Source organism: Homo sapiens, chromosome 10, assembly GCF_000001405.40.
Source record: "Homo sapiens chromosome 10, GRCh38.p14 Primary Assembly".
Taxonomy (NCBI): domain Eukaryota; kingdom Metazoa; phylum Chordata; class Mammalia; order Primates; family Hominidae; genus Homo; species Homo sapiens.
In genome coordinates, this window is record NC_000010.11 from 52,018,664 (window position 1) to 52,036,630 (window position 17,967).

General features: G+C 39.0%; 1 protein-coding gene across 5 annotated transcripts in view, besides 2 other annotated features; it reads left to right on the forward strand.

Annotated features, from left to right (window-relative positions):
* Nucleotides 1-17,967, forward strand: part of PRKG1 (protein kinase cGMP-dependent 1) — a 1,307,463-nt gene that overhangs the window by 1,027,776 nt on the left and 261,720 nt on the right. The window lies entirely within an intron of this gene.
* Nucleotides 14,599-15,294: an enhancer, noted in NCBI's record as "OCT4-NANOG-H3K27ac hESC enhancer chr10:53793022-53793717 (GRCh37/hg19 assembly coordinates)". NCBI's record gives its function as "activates a minimal SCP1, AML or CMV promoter by ChIP-STARR-seq in naive H9 embryonic stem cells {active_cell/tissue: H9 hESC(naive)}" and the evidence as "EXISTENCE:reporter gene assay evidence [ECO:0000049][PMID:30033119]".
* Nucleotides 15,295-15,989: an enhancer, noted in NCBI's record as "OCT4-NANOG-H3K27ac hESC enhancer chr10:53793718-53794412 (GRCh37/hg19 assembly coordinates)". NCBI's record gives its function as "activates a minimal SCP1, AML or CMV promoter by ChIP-STARR-seq in naive and primed H9 embryonic stem cells {active_cell/tissue: H9 hESC(naive and primed)}" and the evidence as "EXISTENCE:reporter gene assay evidence [ECO:0000049][PMID:30033119]".

Here is a 17,967-nt window from a genome sequence, read left to right on the forward strand (position 1 = left end):
ATGATCTTGTGTTTACTGATATCAAAGAATAATTGTACCGAGCAGAGTAAAACAGGTCAAGAGGACTTTAATTCAAGACCTCTACAATAGGGAAGATACATTGAATTCAACTCCATTGAAACAAAAGGTGGTAGGGTTTTTAAGCCCTGGAGTGAGCTAGTGAAAAAGTACTGGAAGACATTAGAGGGGAATTTGGTCAATGTGATTAGGCCAACTGTGTTTGCTAATTGGTGCTTATGAAAGTTAGGATCTGTCTTTGTCTGCTTCGTGTTGCTAAAAAGGAACACTTGCGCTTGGATAATTTATGAAGAAAAGGGTTCATTTTTCTTATGATTCTGGACAGCTGGAGAATGCAAGATTGGATATTGACATCTGGTGAGGGCCTCATCCTGCTTCTCATGGTGAAAAAGTTAAGAGGAGCTGCTTGTGCAAAGGCGTAGGGGGAGGTACCAGGCTCTATATAACAACCAGCTTTCCTAAGAACTAATGGAGTGGGAACTCAGTCACCCCACGGAGGGAAGGCATTAATCTATTCATGAGGGATTTGCCCCCATGACCCAAACACCTCCCATTATGCTGAATTTTCAACATTGGGGATCAAATTTCACCACGAGGTTTGTGAGGGACAAACATCCAAACTATAGCAGGATCCTACCCTCTTACAGAGACTAGGAGATGGTGTCATTATCCTTCTTGATGATTATGTTTCAAAGGGAAGACTCACAGGTTTTTGAGAAAGAAATTCCTGGGTTGTAAAACTGGTTACAGGCTGGAGGAAGATTTACATCTCAAAGGGGTAGAGAAAGATTTATAGTTCCAAGTTTTTGAAAGTAACTTTTCCAAGAAGAGGGCACTCCAGGGCCTGTAGTGAGGAAGAAACCTGTCTAAAATCTAGCCAAGTTGAGGAGAATTTAAGATTGTGTTAATGAGGATATTTTATACTCTGTGTCCATGAGATATTGATATGCTCAGTCATTTATAAAGAAGGCAAATTCAGCTCCCATGGAAGTATTTTATTTGGGAGAAAGAATAGGAAGAGCTGTTTTAGCTTATACTCTTAGCCATAAAATTACCAAAATGGGTTTAACTTCCTCAGATTGCTTAAAGTTGCTTGCTGGGATTGGAGGTCTTTTTGTCTGGGGACTGACAGTTTTTGAGTTTGGAGAGTTCTCTAGGCCCCCAAGTAAGATAAAATCCTCTGAGCTGAATAGCCTTAGGCAGGGGTTGAGCTTTAAATTCTTGTTACTTGTATTTCAGAGGATCTGGAGTTCAGAGTCTCTGAGGACAAAGGCAAACAATGAAGATAGGAAAGTTGGAAATTAAAGAAAATAATAATCTTAATATATTGTATTTACTCACTGAAATATATTTTAATATATTTTATTTTATTAGTGGGTTGCTTGACCTTTCTTTGCTTCAGTTTCTGAGTTTTTTTAATCTTCTGTAAAATTAAGATAATAAAATTTACTCATTAGAGTCATATGAGGGTAAATGAGACCATACATATAAAAATCAGACTGCTTGGCTTATAGTAAATCTCCAAAACTATTTTATATTGTTCTTATTTCTTGGTGTTTCTTAACTGTCTCTCCAGTAGATTAAATCTCCCTTCAACACAGGAACTGAGTCTTTTTCATCTGTGGATCTCTAGCCCTCCACAGAGCATGTCAAAAGTATTTGTTGACTGAATGATAAGTAAACATTTTACCAGTGGAAGGTATCCAAGTTACTGCCAGCAACTCCATAAGAGTCTATAGTAACCTCAATTCTTGCCTCCTCAGAAGAAAGAATTCGATGGAGGGGCATAAGGCAGAAAAAGAAACGAAGGCAAGTTTCAGAGAAGGAGTGGAAGTTTATTTAAAAGGCTTTAGAACAGGAAAGAAAGGAAAGTACACTTGGAAGAAACCCAAGTGGGCACATGAAGGTCAAGAGTGGTGTTTAACCTTGATCCTAGGACTTTATGGGCTGGCCCCTTTCCCATGATTCTTCCCTTAGGGTGGGCTGCCCACCTGTGCAATGCCCTCTTAATGCTTGGGAGGTGAGCACATGCAATGTGTTTAGGAAGTTGTACAATGCCCATCTGGGGCTTTCTTCCCCTTTCTGGTGGAGTGCCCCTGGAAGGTCATAGTCAGCCACTTTGTCTCTTACTGCACGTGCCCCGGCTCACTCACCCAGTACCTGAGATTTTATTGGAAGTTCCTTTTTGCTTCTCCCTTGTTCCTGCATTCAATTAGCATTTTAATGCAACAGGTGTGGACCACCAGGAAATGGCCTCTCCCTGGTGCCTGCTGCCAATTTATCACTTTTAGAGAGGCAATGTGATAGTTGCCAAACTGTCACCTGACATTCCTAGTGGGTGGGGGTGAGACCTCTCCTGCCCCACTCATGCCTGTCTAACTACCTGTAACAAACTTACAAGCAACACTCAGAACATGTTTTATAGGCTGATGTCCCAAAAACTAAGCTGTTCATCAGAATGATCTACAAATTCTCAACTGCCAGACTGTGCAGGGAGGAACAAGTCATTCAGTGTTACTAGAGCAGAGGTTTAAGGTAAGGAAGTGTGGCACTTGAGGCTTGAGAATTATAAAGGCAGCCATGTATGATATGTTGCTTTTGGATTTTATTCTCTGGTTGGTGGAGTTATGGATGGATTTTAAGCAGGAGGGAGGCCACATGGGGTGTGAGGTAGAGTCTTGGGCCATTCAAAGGTATCTGGTTTAGTGCCAGGCACATGCTGGATTCTCAGAAAATATCTTTTGAATGAATAGGATAGTAAATATGTAATCATTAAAGACAGTAAGAAATAAGGTAGATCTCTATGTGCTGCTGATATGGGAAGATGTTCAACATTACTATTAAGTGAACAAGAGCAACTTCAGACCAGTATATAAAGTATATTTCCATTTGTGTTTGAAAAAATTACATATGTGTTTATTTCTATGTGTGTGTGGTAGACAGTAGGCAGGTGGATGGATGCATGGATACCTAATTTCAACTTTATGTTTCATATAATATGCATCATTTGAATTACCCAAATTGCATGAAATTTTTTGTGATGATGATGATGTTGATGTTGTTGACGATGAAAAAATAAAGAGACTCTCCAGGTAATTATTCAAGTATATAGCCAGATTCTACAATGTAACCTAATGAATTATTATTTACATTTCATTTTGATTGTGACAGGATAAGAGTCAAGACTAGGAAAAAGTGGGAAAGTGACACTGCTTTTTCTTATTGCCATATCCATGTTGTTTCTTATATTATCTTCCTTATTTATAGTTAAAACTGCACTAAACGTAACTTGTCATATAATTTGCTATGCAGACAGTCCTCATTGTTCAACTTATAATTTTTCAACTTTACAATGGTGTGAAAGCAATATGCATTCAGTAGAAGGTGATAAGATACTCTCTCAAGACTCTGAGTAGCAGTGCAGCTCCAAGTCAGCCATTAGGGTAAATGACTGATACTCTACAGTGTACTGTGCTGCCCGATGAATTTGTCCAACTGCAAGCTAATATAAGTGTTCTGATAACATTCAAAGTAGACTAGGCTAAGTTATGATGCTTGGTAGGTTAGGTGTATTAAATACATTTTGACTTACTCAATTTTCAACTTTTGTTGGGTTTCTTGGGACATAACCCCATCGTAAGTCACAGAGCCTCTGTATTGCGATAGGAGTTTAATTTTTTACTTCATTATTGATCAATGAAAAATGTTTCAAATATTTACATTTACAGTGTTGCAGATTTGGTACTCTAATTTCTGATGAAATTTATATTACTTAAAGTTAAAATTTAACATTCAACAATTGTTATATGACAAATCCAGTCTCAACATTATGGTTTTATATTATTATATAGTTACCTTTTTTATTCTTTAAGTATTTCAAGTGTTCTGGCTATGGTTCCTAGTACACATGGGAATAGGCAGAATAATATGAAAGAATATCTGAACATACTCTAAGTTGTACAATAGTGTATGGTATAGCTCATCTGAAAATAATATTTTTCTCCTACAAAATTAGAAAAAGAATAATAATCCAAAATGTTGGCAGTGGACAAGAGAAAGAGGGGTATTTGGGTTTGTATGGAGCATGACATATACAAAGTACAGAAATGAAAATAAAAGTAAAAATCAGGAAATAGCAAAATCATGTTATTTAGGAATATGGAAATGTAGAATCCACAGCAGAAAAACATTCATTATTACTATAAAAATGCAGAACTTTTGGTCGTAATAGGTGAGGGTGTTTTTTTAATTATACTTTAAGTTCTGGGGTACATGTGCAGAACATGCAGGTTTATTACATAGGTATACACGTGCCAAGGTGGTTTGCTGTACCCATCAACCCGTCATCTACATTGGGTATTTCTCCTAATGCAATCCTGACCCTAGCCCCCCACACCCCGACAGGTCCTGGTGTGTGATGTTTCCTTTCCTGTGTCCAAGTGTTCTCATTGTTCAACTCCCACTTATGAGTGAGAACATGTGGTGTTTGGTTTTCTGTCTTGTGTTAGTTTGCTGAGAATGATGGTTTCCAGCTTCATCCATGTCCCTGCAAAGGACATGAACTCATCCTTTTTTATGGCTGCATAGTATTCCATGGTGTAAATGTGCCACATTTTCTTTATCCAGTCTATCATAGATGGGCATTTGGGTTGGTTCCAAGTCTTTGCTATTGTGAACAGTGCCACAACAAACATACATGTGCATTTGTCTTTATAGTAGAATGATTTATAATCCTTTGGGTGTATACCCAGTAATGGGATTGCTGGGTCAAATGGTATTTCTAGTTCTAGATCCTTGAGGAATCGCCACACTCTCTTCCACAATGGTTGAATTAGTTTACAGTCCCACCAACAGTGTAAAAGTGTTCCTGTTTCTCCACATCCTCTCCAGCACCTGTTGTTTCCTGACTTTTTAATGATCACTATTCTAACTGGTATGAGATGGTATCTCATTGTGGTTTTGATTTGCATTTCTCTGATGGCCAGTGATGGCGAGCATTTTTTCATGTGTCTGTTGGCTGCATAAATGTCTTCTTTTGAGAAGTGTCTGTTCATATCCTTCGCTCACTTTTTGATGGGGTTGTTTTTTCCTTATAAATTTGTTTAAGTTCTTTGTAGATTCTGGATATTAGCCCTTTGTTAGATGGATAGATTGCAAAAATTTTCTCGCATTCTGGAGGTTGCCTATTTACTCTAATGATAGTTTCTTTTGCTGTGCAGAAGCTCTTTAGCTTAATTAAATCCCATTTGTCTATTTTAGCTTTTGTTGTCATTGCTTTTGGTGGTTTAGTCATGAAGTCTTTGCCCATGCCTGTGTCCTGAATGGTATTGCCTAGGTTTTCTTCTAGGGTTTTTATGGTTTTAGGTCTTATGTTTAAGTCTTTAATCCATCTTGAGTTGATTTTTGTATAAGGTGTGAGGAAGGGATCCAAACCACTGCTCAAGGAAATAAGAGAGGATACAAACAAATGGAAAAACATTCCATGCTCTTGGATAGGAAGAATCAATATCATGAAATGGCTGTGCTGTCCAAAGTAATTTACAGATTCAGTGCCATCAAGCTACCATTAACTTTCTTCACAGAATTGGAAAAAACTACTTTACTTATTTATTTATTCATTTATTTATTTATTTAACTTTTTTTTTTATTCTTTTTTTTATTATTATACTTTAAGTTCTAGGGTACATGTGCACAACGTGCAGGTTTTTAACATGTGTATACATGTGCCGTGTTGGTTTGCTGCATTCATTAACTCATCATTTACATTAGGTATTTCTCCTAATGCTATCCCTCCCCCATTCCCCCACCCCACGACAGGCCCCAGTGTCTGATGTTCCCTGCCCTGTGTCCAAGTGTTCTCATTGTTCAATTGCCACCTATGAGTGAGAACATGCAGTGTTTGGTTTTCTGTCCTTGCAATAGTTTGCTGAGAATGATGGTTTCCAGCTTCATCCATGTCCCTACAAAGGACATGAACTCATCCTTTTTTATGGCTGCATAGTATTCCATGGTGTATATGTACCACATTTTCTTAGTCCAGTCTATCATTGATGGACATTTGGGTTGGTTCCAAGTCTTTGCTATTGTGAATAGTGCTGCAATAAACATACGTGTGCATGTGTCTTTATAGTAGCATGATTTATAATCCTTTGGTTATATACCTAGTAATGAGATCGCTGGGTCAAATGGTATTTCTAGTTCTAGATCCTTGAGGAATTGCCACACTGTCTTCCACAATGGTTGAACTAGTTTACAATCCCACCAACAGTGTAAAAGCATTCCTATTTCTCCACATCCTCTCCAACATCTCTTGTTTCCGGACTTTTTAATGATCGCCATTCTAACTGGTGTGAGATGGTATCTCATTGTGGTTTTGATTTCCATTTCTCTGATGACCAGTGATGATGAGCATTTTTTCATGTGTCTGTTGGCTGCATAAATGTCTTCTTTTGAGAAGTGTCCATTCATATCGTTTGCCCACTTTTTGATGGGGTTGTTTTTTTCTTGTAAATTTGTTTAAGTTCTTTGTAGATTCTGGATATTAGCCCTTTGTCAGATGGGTAGATTGCAAAAATTTTCTCCCATTCTGTAGGTTGCCTGTTCATTCTGATGGTAGTTTCTTTTGCTGTGCAGAAGCTCTTTAGTTTAATTAGATCCCATTTGTCAATTGTGGCTTTTGTTTTCATTGTTTTTGGTGTTTTAGTCATGAAGTCCTTGCCCATGCCTATGTCCTGAATGGTATTGCCTTGGTTTTCTTCTAGGGTTTTTATGGCTTTAGGTCTAACATTTAAGTCTTTAATCCATCTTGAATTAATTTTTGTATAAGGTATAAGGAAGGGATCCAGTTTCAGCTTTCTCCATATGGCTAGCCAGTTTTCCCAGCACCATTTATTAAATAGAGGTTCCTTTCCCCATTTCTTGTCTTTGTCAGGTTTGTCAAAGGTCAGATGGTTGTAGATGTGTGCTGTTATTTCTGAGGTCTCTGTTCTGTTCCATTGGTCTATATCTCTGTTTTAGTACCAGTACCATGCTGTTTTGGTTACTGTAGACTTGTAGTATAGTTTGAAGTCAGGTAGAGTGATGCCTCCAGCTTAGGATTGTATTGGCAATGCGGGCTCTTTTTTGATTCCATATGAACTTTAAAGTAGTTTGGAAAAAACTACTTTAAATTTAGCTAAGTCAATCCTAAGCAAAAAGAACAAAGCTGGAGGCATCATGCTACCTGACTTCAAACTATACTACAAGGCTACAGTAGCCAAAACAGCATGATACTGGTACCAAAACAGATATATAGACCAATGGAACAGAACAGAGGCCTCAGAAATAATGCCACACATCTACAACCATCTGATCTGTGACAAACCTGACAAAAACAAGCAATGGGGACAGGATTCCCTATTTAATAAATGGTGTTGTGAAAACTGGCTAGCCATATACAGAAAGCTAAAAGAGGGTGTTTTTTATTATAAACATTTTAGACTTATTTTTATCTATGAAAAAATACCGTGGGGATTTATTAAAATATATTACCTGGAATGGGTTAGGGATAATGTTCTAAAAGAAAAAGGAATATGGAGTAGATTATAATGTTTGATAATTGAGAAATGTGTTGGACTAAACAAAACAAAATAGTGAGAGGCATGGAAGTAATTAACTAAATTACACTTCTTTGCATATGCTTCTGTCTACCTGACTTAAAAAGAAGTACTGATTTGAGCTACAGTGTGAATGAACTTTGAGAAACATTATGCCAAGTGAAAGATACCAAACACAAAAGACCATGTGTTGTATGATTCCATTTATAAGAGATGTCCCAAAATGAGCAATTCCCTAGAGACAGGAAATACATTATTTGTTGCCCAAAACTGAGGAAAGGCAGAATGGGGAGTGATTACTAATTGGTATGGAGTTCCTTTTAGGGGTGATGAAAAGATTCTTAAATTAGAGAGTGGTGATGGATACACAACTCTGTTAAGATACTAAAAATCTTGTGCATTTAAAAGGGTGAATTTCGGCCAGGCACGGTGGCTCACGCCTGTAATCCCAACACTTTGGGAGGCCGAGGCACGCGGATCACCAACTCAGGAGATCAAGACCATCCTGGCTAACACGGGGAAACCCTGCCTCTACTAAAAATACAAAAATTAGCTGGGCGTGGTGGTGAGCATCTGTAGTCCCAGCTACTGGAGAGGCTGAGGCAGGAGAATGGCGTGAACCCGGGAGGTGGAGCTTGCAATGAGCCGAGATCGCTCGCCACTGCACTCCAGCCTGGGCGACAGAGTAAGACTCCGTCAAAAAAACAATAAAAAGAGGCGAATTTCGTGATATATGAATTATATCTCAATTTAAAAAATTGTTTTGTGACTGTGTCTGCCCAGAAGAGGTTGTATAAGAGAAGACATGTAACCTATAACTCAATCCATGGGAACTGCACTTGAAAAAGAAAGCAACTCATATGGTCTGCGTTTTTCCCATTGGCTGGCTCTGTGCCTCTAGGTCACTAGATAATCACTCAAGTGTACTTGTTACCTAACCTGGGTGCAAGCCTGATGGATAGCGACAACAGCAACCACAAAAATCCAGTGAAGGAGTTTTGCAAAACTCAGTTCAGAGGGTCGTGATATGTGTATGGGTGGAGGGTGGTGGATGAGGGTGAGTGTGTGTGTTTTCTTTTTCCATTAATTGGCACGGATCTTATATTGCAAAAGGCTTGTATTCCAGTAAATGAATGTGTAGATAGCAGATGTTGCTGCTTCAGAATCACTCACCATGAGGCCTGGGATATATACTTTTATACACAACACTTTTTGTTTCTAATATACAAGCCAAGATGTGAACAAGTTTCTTAAACAATCCAGAGAATTACATCTATTTTCCACTTCACTTTGTCCAAGTAGACACACATAAACAATGGTGAGCATGGGATAAGGAGGTAATAATTCAGTCAGCCTTTGCAATGACAGTCTATGACAGTGACTTGCTGCTTTGGAAAATGTGTCCCTTAGTCTGGTTAATTAAAATGGTTTAATATAAAGCAAAAAATAAATAATGGATTAACTAAATTGGAACTTTTATTGAAGCCCAGGCTGTTCTATCTTTATTATTATTATTATTATTATTTATTTGAGACAGAGTCTCGCTTTGTTGCCCAGGCTGGAGTGCAGTGGTGCAATCTTGGCTCATTTCAACCTCCACCTCCTGGATTCAAGTGATTCTCCTGCCTCAGCCACCAGAGTAGCTGGGACTGCAGGTGCCTGCCACCACGCCCAGCTAATTTTTGTATTTTCAGTAGACGTGGGGTTTCACCATGTTGGCCAGGCTGGTCTCGAACTCCTGACCTCAAATGATCCACCCACCTTGGCCTCTCAAAGTTCTGGGATTACAGGCATGAGCCACTGCGCCCAGCCCGTCTATATTTTATTACTGAAAAATGTAGCCACATAGTTTGTATTTTTTTTTCAAGGGTTACTATTCCTGCCCTCACAATAGGAGATTCTCTACAGGGCACCCAGGTCGAACAGACTATAGTTTAAGTTTTTGTGTTATTATAGAGTCCTATATGCTTTTTAGTTTTCTACTTTTCAGATGTGTACAGCTCCTATCTGCACATTCTATTATGATCACTGCACGCATTTTGAGGACAGAACCCTGCAAGCCTGAGTGCCTTTAACTTCCAACAAGATTTATGTGTGTGTCCCTCTTGTGTACTATGTGCAAAGTTAAGCCAGTCAATTACTTTTCTGTTAGTCTTTTGTTCTTGCTCATTCTCCTCTGGAGATATACTATTTCTGTAAAATACTCTTTTATTATCATCTCCACTTCAGTGTATCCCCTCAAGCATAAGTTCTGGGAAGGAAGGAAAAGGTTATATCTCATTGTTCTGTATAACATGTGCCTAAGGTTTACTTTGGGCTGCTTGTAACCTCATGCTGGTGTTAAACAGATCCTAAGTGTACCTGTTCCAATACCTAGTTTATTTTTACCCTAAGGTGCGTTTGCTTCAGCAAATTTTAAGAACCTACTTGGAATTGGTTTTGATATTTTGAACTGTACAGACACCGTTTTCTTTCATTATATGTAACACACATAGTGTCCATGATTGTGGAATATTAGTGTAATATAATTTTACTGTGCTTGGTAAGAACATCTTAGAAATGAACAATAATGTTGAAATATGGGCCAAACATTTGAAAAACCTTCCAGACTTAATCAGTCTTGTCTTGGGGCTCTCTGTACAGTGAAATTCCAGGTTTAAAAAAATACTATTTCACAAAAGACCCTTGCTATTTGCAAGGATGGTGATTTGAAACCATGACTCTTCTAAATTGTAAATGACATTAAAAATAGGTCACTTAAGGAGCCTGACAAAATAGTGTTGTGCTGTGACCCAAGGTGGTGCTTCTAGTTTTCTACTGGGCTGCTAATAGAGCGGGCTGGACTTTCCTATTCTTGCATATTATGTTCTGCTCTTTGCTATTCCTCGGTGAAATCAGAAAGCTTAGTGCATCATTATTCCAAAATAGAAAAGTCATTCCATTCTTTGACATAAACACACAGTCTCTCTTTTCCACTTACATTTAAATGTTCACAAATGAATTTCTTTCCATTATAGTTGTTTCATCTTGTTTGACTTCTTTTTTGGATTCACAAATCTCTCCACCAAGCTCACAGTAAACATGAAAGTGCTATTAGAGAGGACAAATCTCTCCACCAAGCTCACAGTAAACATGAAAGTACTATTAGAGAGGAATGGAATAGCTTCTAAAACCTCTCAGAGAAGGCTTTTCAGAGGAAGCACCAGTAGAGATGTCCCTTTAAGAGGTGCCTGTGTCAAAATAAACAGGCAAAGGGAAGTACAATCTCAAAGTCGATATACTTTACTGGAAAGAAAACTCTTTATTAGGCCCACATCTGAGTCTGGTACTTTAGTGCCTGGTACTTGACCACGGCTGAACACTGGGATCACTTGGAGAACTTTAATTAATACTGGTCCCAGCTCTAGGTTATCTAATTTAACATATTCAGGGAAAGGTCTAGGTATCAGAACTCTTAAACCTTCTCTGGTGATCTTAATGGGCAAAGTTAGAAGCTGCATGGTTCCCTTAGTTGTGGTTTCCCATTCTATAGATGATTAGAAACAGGGTATCTGGCTGCGTGCTGGACATGTGGACAGTACATATCCTCAGGTGTCTCTCCTGCAAAAAAAGTATGCCAGCTTAAACCTGACCTTCCTGATATATCATCTCATCATCTACTGAACCCCATCCACTTTTTAAAGAAATCCATGCAATCATTCAAAAAATATTGGAGAAGCCACCATGTCTCTGGCTCCAAATCTTTCTGTCTGAACTAGTTTCCTTACTCTGTGATGCATCCCTGTTTAAATCCCATCAGAGGCTTCATTTGCCCATGGGTAAAGTCAAAGACAGCATATAATCCACAGCTACCTTTGTAACTCTTAAGTCTCAAGTCCTACCATTTGCTGCCTAAATGGGCTTTAGTAATACTGAGAAGTTTGTTGTTCTGTGTGCATACCATGCTACTTCAGGCTTCACAGAATTTACCTTTCCTATCTTCTATCCCACTAGCTACCTTTCATCTGGCTAGTTCCTATCCACATCAAGGCTCAGATCAGCCGCTAACTTTTCTGAGAGTAATTCTCTGAACCCCCATGCCACTGAGGATTTCTTGTTGTATACCTTCAGCAAAGCACTTTTATTTTAAAACTGTCTGACTCCACTTATGCGTCTCCTCTGGACTGTAAGCTCATAAAAGGCATATCTTCATCATCTGCATATGCCCATTTCCTAGTACTCAATGCATTCACATGATGGTTTTCTTCAAATGAACTGATCTGGGATATGGCATATCAGGATGCTTCTAATTAAGTGATATTGAAGGTCGAAGGAAGTTAGAGCTAACAGTTTGGCAGCAAGGGAAGAAACAGAGGAACTCAGAAGTCAGCGATGGGAAGTGACCATGTAAGAGTGGCTGCGTGCTTCAGTTATCACATAGGACACGACCATGCTATGACTCAGCACAATCAATCACTGATGTGAATAATAATGACTCCAGGTCAATTTGAAAAAGTTAAATGCACCCATAAGATGTAGTTTAAAAATTAAAATGAGCATAAATGTATAAATGCATTTCAACCAAATCAATTAAAAAGGAAGAGGAATTCTATGGAAATTTTGCTTGTGAGGGAAAGATACATCATTCTGTAAATGCTAGGTAAATTATATAATGTATTTTATTACATTATAATACAACAGCATCAATTTCTATTTTTACATGTGTTTATAGCCAGAGAAAGTTTCTAGCCATAGCCAGATAAGGTGATGTCACTAACTCAGATCCATTATTTATTCTCAAACTTTAAAAAAAAAAATGCTGCTCATTATCCCTAATGTCATTGATCCACACAGAACCAGGTTGTGAAATAGAATAAGATAAAATGATTGACCACTGGGAAGATTTATTCCAACGCTGTTGCCTGTGAATTTCTCCTCCAAATACACAGGCTTGAAAATAATTAGTTTCCAATTTAGGATGTTCATAAATGAGCATATGTAGCACCTGTAAGAAACACCTCTGTTTTCCATCTCAAGCTTTCAGGGAATAATATAATTCACATATGTACTTTGCATTTTGGTTGCCATAATAAGTCTTCTGCAGATGTTAGAAACAGCTAAATAATTAATTTTAGTTCTGATCCCTCATCTGAAAAATGGAGATAATAATGAGGTTTTTACTAACCATAAACAGGGCTTCTTGCAATAATCTAAGACAATATATATATTTGAAAGATCTTTATAAATTGTAGAGTATTTGTTAGCAATAGTAATTTAGTGATTTTACAAAACAATGCATTACACTGTCATGAATATTAGTGTTTTTAAAATAGTGCAAAACAAGCAGTATTTTAATGTAAATTCTAATTAATTCAATTTAACAAATATTTGGTTATGCGTTCTAAGCATAAAGCATTGTGGTTGCTGTAGATGGAGATGGAGGGTAGAAATATATGGACTCTGTTCTAATTTGGGTATAAGATATATAAATAATCTCTAAGAACAAAAGGTAGAATGATAGAAGCTGCAATTATGAAACCAAAGTGTGCTATGTTAAGGATGATCTTTATATTTGGATGATCAAGGGATAATTTATTAGACAACTGGATTTTATAAGTAGAAATGGTAGTCAAAGAACATTCCAGGATGAGAGAGTAACAGATGTGAAGCCCACAAGGGAAAAGGCATCCACAATACAACTAAGGCCCTGAAATGGCTGGAGTGTAGAGGGAGAGGGGGTATTTAAACAGTCATGGTCTTAAATGTCACAGCAAGAGATCTGAATATTATGCCATGGAGAATGTTGAGCAATTTAAGTTTTTGAGCATGAGTTGTAGGATTGCAGCAGTGTTTTGGGAATCAATTTCTAATGATAGAAATGAGTACACTGTAATGGAGATTAAATAAAATTCAAGACTTCACTTCTCTGTTTGTGTCTGCGTAGTTTTTCTAGGATCATTGTTACTAACCTGTTCTTTTTTTTCTTTCTTAGACTAAGGAAAACTGTTTGTAAGATTAGTAGAAAATCAAACTGTGAGCATAGGCTTTCTAAAGCACACTTGGATTTAAATTTTATTTCCAAAGTTTACCTGCTGGGTGCTCTTGGGAAAATTATTCAACCTGTTCAAGTTTCTGTTTTGTTCTGGTAAAATAGAGATCATAATAAATACCTCAGAGAATCATTGTCCTAATTGAGATATCCTTAACACACTGTCTAGCTTGTGATAAATGTTAAATTGTCTAGCATGTGATAAATGTTAAATTAATAGCAGCTTTTTAAAATACACCATTGGTATATAAAAGTGAATATTTATAGTTAATATAAAATATTTAGTCATATTGTATTCAGGAAAATCAGCAGAATTTTAATTAATCATTTGTATTTTTTTAATTCCCCCTTTTTCATTGCTGGAAATAGGAAAATAAAAATTCAGGAATGTGGTCTCAGCCTCCTTGTGGTCCCACTTAAATGCAAATAAGTTACCACTAGGTAACTTACTAGGGCTTCCACAGTAACCACGTTCTAAAAATCTGTGATCACTACACTTGCTGAATTGGACATATCTTCATAAAGTAGGTAACAGCCTTTCTGCGTGTTTAAATGGTAAAGGTCCTGTGTTTTCTTTTTAGTAGTGTGTGTCTGCAGAGACATCCTAATGTAGTCTAGGTGCAGGAGTTGAAGGCAGCAGTATGGAAGGAAGTCTTTATCTATAAAGATAGTTGTCAGGGTATCACTACTTTGTTAAATTTTTTTATACTTAGGATGTGGGCTTTATCCTAGCAGGGAGAGAGACTGGGTCTTATATCTATACCCAGCATTCATTCAGTACCCCAACTTTTAGTATACTAATATTACTTGGGATGGATATATGAGCCCAAATGCCACCTTAGTACTTTCTACTGAGTGCAAGTCATGCACACATCTCGAGTTCAGATTCCCTTCCTCTTGATGTCAAAGCACCTGGGAAGGAAACACTTTAATGAGAAGATTGCCTGGTGACTATTCAGTTAAAGCCAAAAGAAGTGGCACATCTAAATGCATAATTCATTCAAGTGGTCAAGGTTGATAAAACGTACCTGGTCAAAGTTGATAAAACAACAGCACACTTCTCTGTGGTGACAAAAAAGCTTATAACCCTCAGATCTGTGATTTCTGACTTGCACACACATGTTGCTCCTGCGTGTTTTCTCTTAACCCTCTCTTTCTGGGTTCCATTGCTAAGCGAGCTATTTTTTATGGACTATGTTTATATCACCTTTTTAGCTATTTAGCTATTCCCAGCCTTGGAGACAGTCTGTCCTCCAGTTTTATGCAGGTTGAGCTACTGTATTTCCTTGAGTCTACCATTACAACTACTATTACCAGTAGTGACATGTATCCTGAATTCAGAAACTCTAAAGTATATGTAAAGCAGGAGCTGTTGGGGGAGGGAGGATTATGAAAGTAGTGCAGGAGTGTTTCTAGGGCTTCTACTAAGTGGGTTTGCACAAGTGGTAAATTTCATGCACGTCCGTGTGAACAGACCACCAAACAGGCTTTGTGTGAGCAACATGGCTGTTTATTTCACCCGGGTGCAGGCGGACTGAGTCCGAAAAGAGAGTCAGTGAAGGGAGATAGGGGTGGGGCCGTTTTATAGGATTTGGGTAGGTAAAGGAAAATTACAGTCAAAGGGGGGTTGTTCTCTGGCAGGCAGCAGTGGGGGTCGCAAGGTGCTCAGTGGGGGTGCTTTTTGAGCCAGGATGAGCCAGGAAAAGGACTTTCACAAGGTAATGTCATCACTTAAGGCAAGGACTGGCCATTTACACTTCTTTTGTGGTGGAATGTCATCAGTTAAGGTGGGGCAGGGCATATTCACTTCTTTTGTGATTCTTCAGTTACTTCAGGCCATCTGGGCGTACATGTGCAAATCACAGGGGATGCCATGGCTTGGCTTGGGCTCAGAGGCCTGACATTCCTGCCTTCTTACATTAATAAGAAAAATAAAACAAAATAGTGTTGAAGTGTTGGGGCGGCAAAAATTTTTGGGTGGTGGTATGGAGAGAGAATGGGCGATGTTTCTCAGGGCTGCTTCAAGCGGGATTAGGGGTGACGTGGGAACCTAGAGTGGGAGAGATTAAGCTGAAGGGAGGCCTTGTGGTAAGGGGTGATATTGTGGGGATGTTAGAAGAAACATTTGTCATATAGAATGATTGGTGATGGCCTAGATATGGATTTGGATGAATTGAGAAACTAAATGGAATAAAGGAAGGAGAAAAACAGGTATAAAAGGTCTAAGAATTGGGACGACTCAGGATATCTGATTAGAGAGTGCCTAAGGAGATTCAGCATAGTCCTGCCAGCAAAGATTATTTATTTACTTCAAGAGTTAAGAGTGGCAGTTTGGGGATAGCACCAGGAGATATCAGCTGTGATGGCATGGAAAAACAGTGTAAACCGGCAGTGTAAACAAGAGCAGGGCATGTATGAGTAGTTGAGAATGGTGAATAGGAGTATGACTAGACAGAAGATAGTAGGGATGACAAGTTTTTTGCGGCACAGTGTAAGTTGGTCTGGTGTCTGGAATGAGACTGGGGCCTAATAAAAAGGAGTGTCTATACAGGAGCTCAAATGCGCTGTACCCTGCAGCATTCCGAGGACAGGCCTGAATTCTGAGAAGGGAAAGTGGTAAAAGTATTGTCCAGTCCTTTTTAAGTTGGTGGCTGAGTGTGTTTTTAAAAGACCTTTAGTCCATTCTACTTTTCTTGAAGACAGAGGACCATAAGGGACATAAAGGTTTCACTGAATACTAAGAGCCTGAAAAACTGCTTGGCTGATTTGACTAATAAATGCTTGTCTGTTATCAGACTGTATTGAGGTGGGAAGGCTAAACTGAGGAATTATGTCTGACAGAAGGGAAGAAATGACTGCGGTGGCCTTCTCAGACCCTGTAGGAAAGGCCTCTACCTATCCAGTGAAAGTATCTACCTAGACTAAGAGGTATTTTAGTTATCTGACTCAGGGCATGTTGAGTAAAGCTAATTTGCCAGTCCTGGGTGGGGCAAATCCTTGAGCTTGGTGTGTAGGGAAGGAAGGGGGCCTGAATAATCCCTGAGGAGTACTAGAATAGCAGATGGAACACTGAGAAGTTATTTCCTTGAGGATCGATTTCCACGATGGAAAGGAAATGAGAGGTTCTAAGAGGCAGGCTAGTGGCTTGTACTATAGCATAACCTGCCTTTGCTGGTGTGTGGTGATTAGGCCTGGTGGAACCGCCAACAATAAATCAAGCGTGATCAGGGTGAGGAAGAGGAAAGAAGGAAATTTGGGGAAATGGGGTGAATGTCAGATGGATCAGAGAGATACAGTCATGGGGGTCAGGTGTGGTATCAGGAATAACGTGGGAGGCCGGATTGAAGTCTGGGCCAGGAACAACGGTAATTGTGGGAGACTCAACAAAGAGTGGGTACAGCTGAAGGAGCCGGGGAGCAGAAAGTATGTGCGTCAGGTATGAGGAAGAAAATAGATTTTGGAAGTTATGAGAACTGTAGAGAGTGAGTTGAGCATAGTTTGTGATTTTGAGGGCCTCTAAAAGTATTAAAGCAGCGGGAGCCGCTGCACGCAGACATGAGGGCTAGGCTAAAACAGTAAGGTCAAGTTGTTTGGACAGAAAGGCTACAGGGTGCGGTCCTGGCTCTTGTGTAAGAATTCTGACCACGCTAACCATGCCTAGGAAGGAAAGGAGTTGTTGTTTTGTAGAAGGTGCTTGGGTTTGAGAGATTAGTCGGACATGATTGGCAGGGAGAGCACGTGTGTTTTTATGAGAATTATGCTGAGATAGGTAACAGATGAGGAAGAAATTTGGGCTTGATTGAAGTAATAGGGGCTGTCTGTGAAGCTTTGCGGCAGTACAGCCTAGGTAACTTGCTGAGCTTGATGGGTGTCAGGGTCAGTCCAAGTGAAAGTGAAGAGAGGCTGGGATTAAGGGTGCAAAGGAATAGTAAAGAAAGCATGTTTGAGATCTAGAACAGAATAATAGGTTATAGAGGCAGGTACTGAGGATAGGAGAGTATATGGGTTTGGCACTACGGGGTGGATAGGCAAAACAATTTGGTTGATAAGGCGCAGATCCTGAACTAACTTGTAAGGCTCGTCCGGTTTTAGGACAGGTAAAATGGGGGAATTGTAAGGAGAGTTTATAGGCTTTAAAAGGCCATGCTGTAGCAGGCAAGTGATAACAGGCTTTAATCTTTTTAAAGCATGCTGCGGGATGGGATATTGGCGTTGAGTGGGGTAAGGGTGATTAGGTTTTAATGAGATGGTAACGGGTGCATGATTGGTCGCCAAGGAGGGAGTAGAGGTATCTTATACTTGTGGGTTAAGGTGGGGGGATACAAG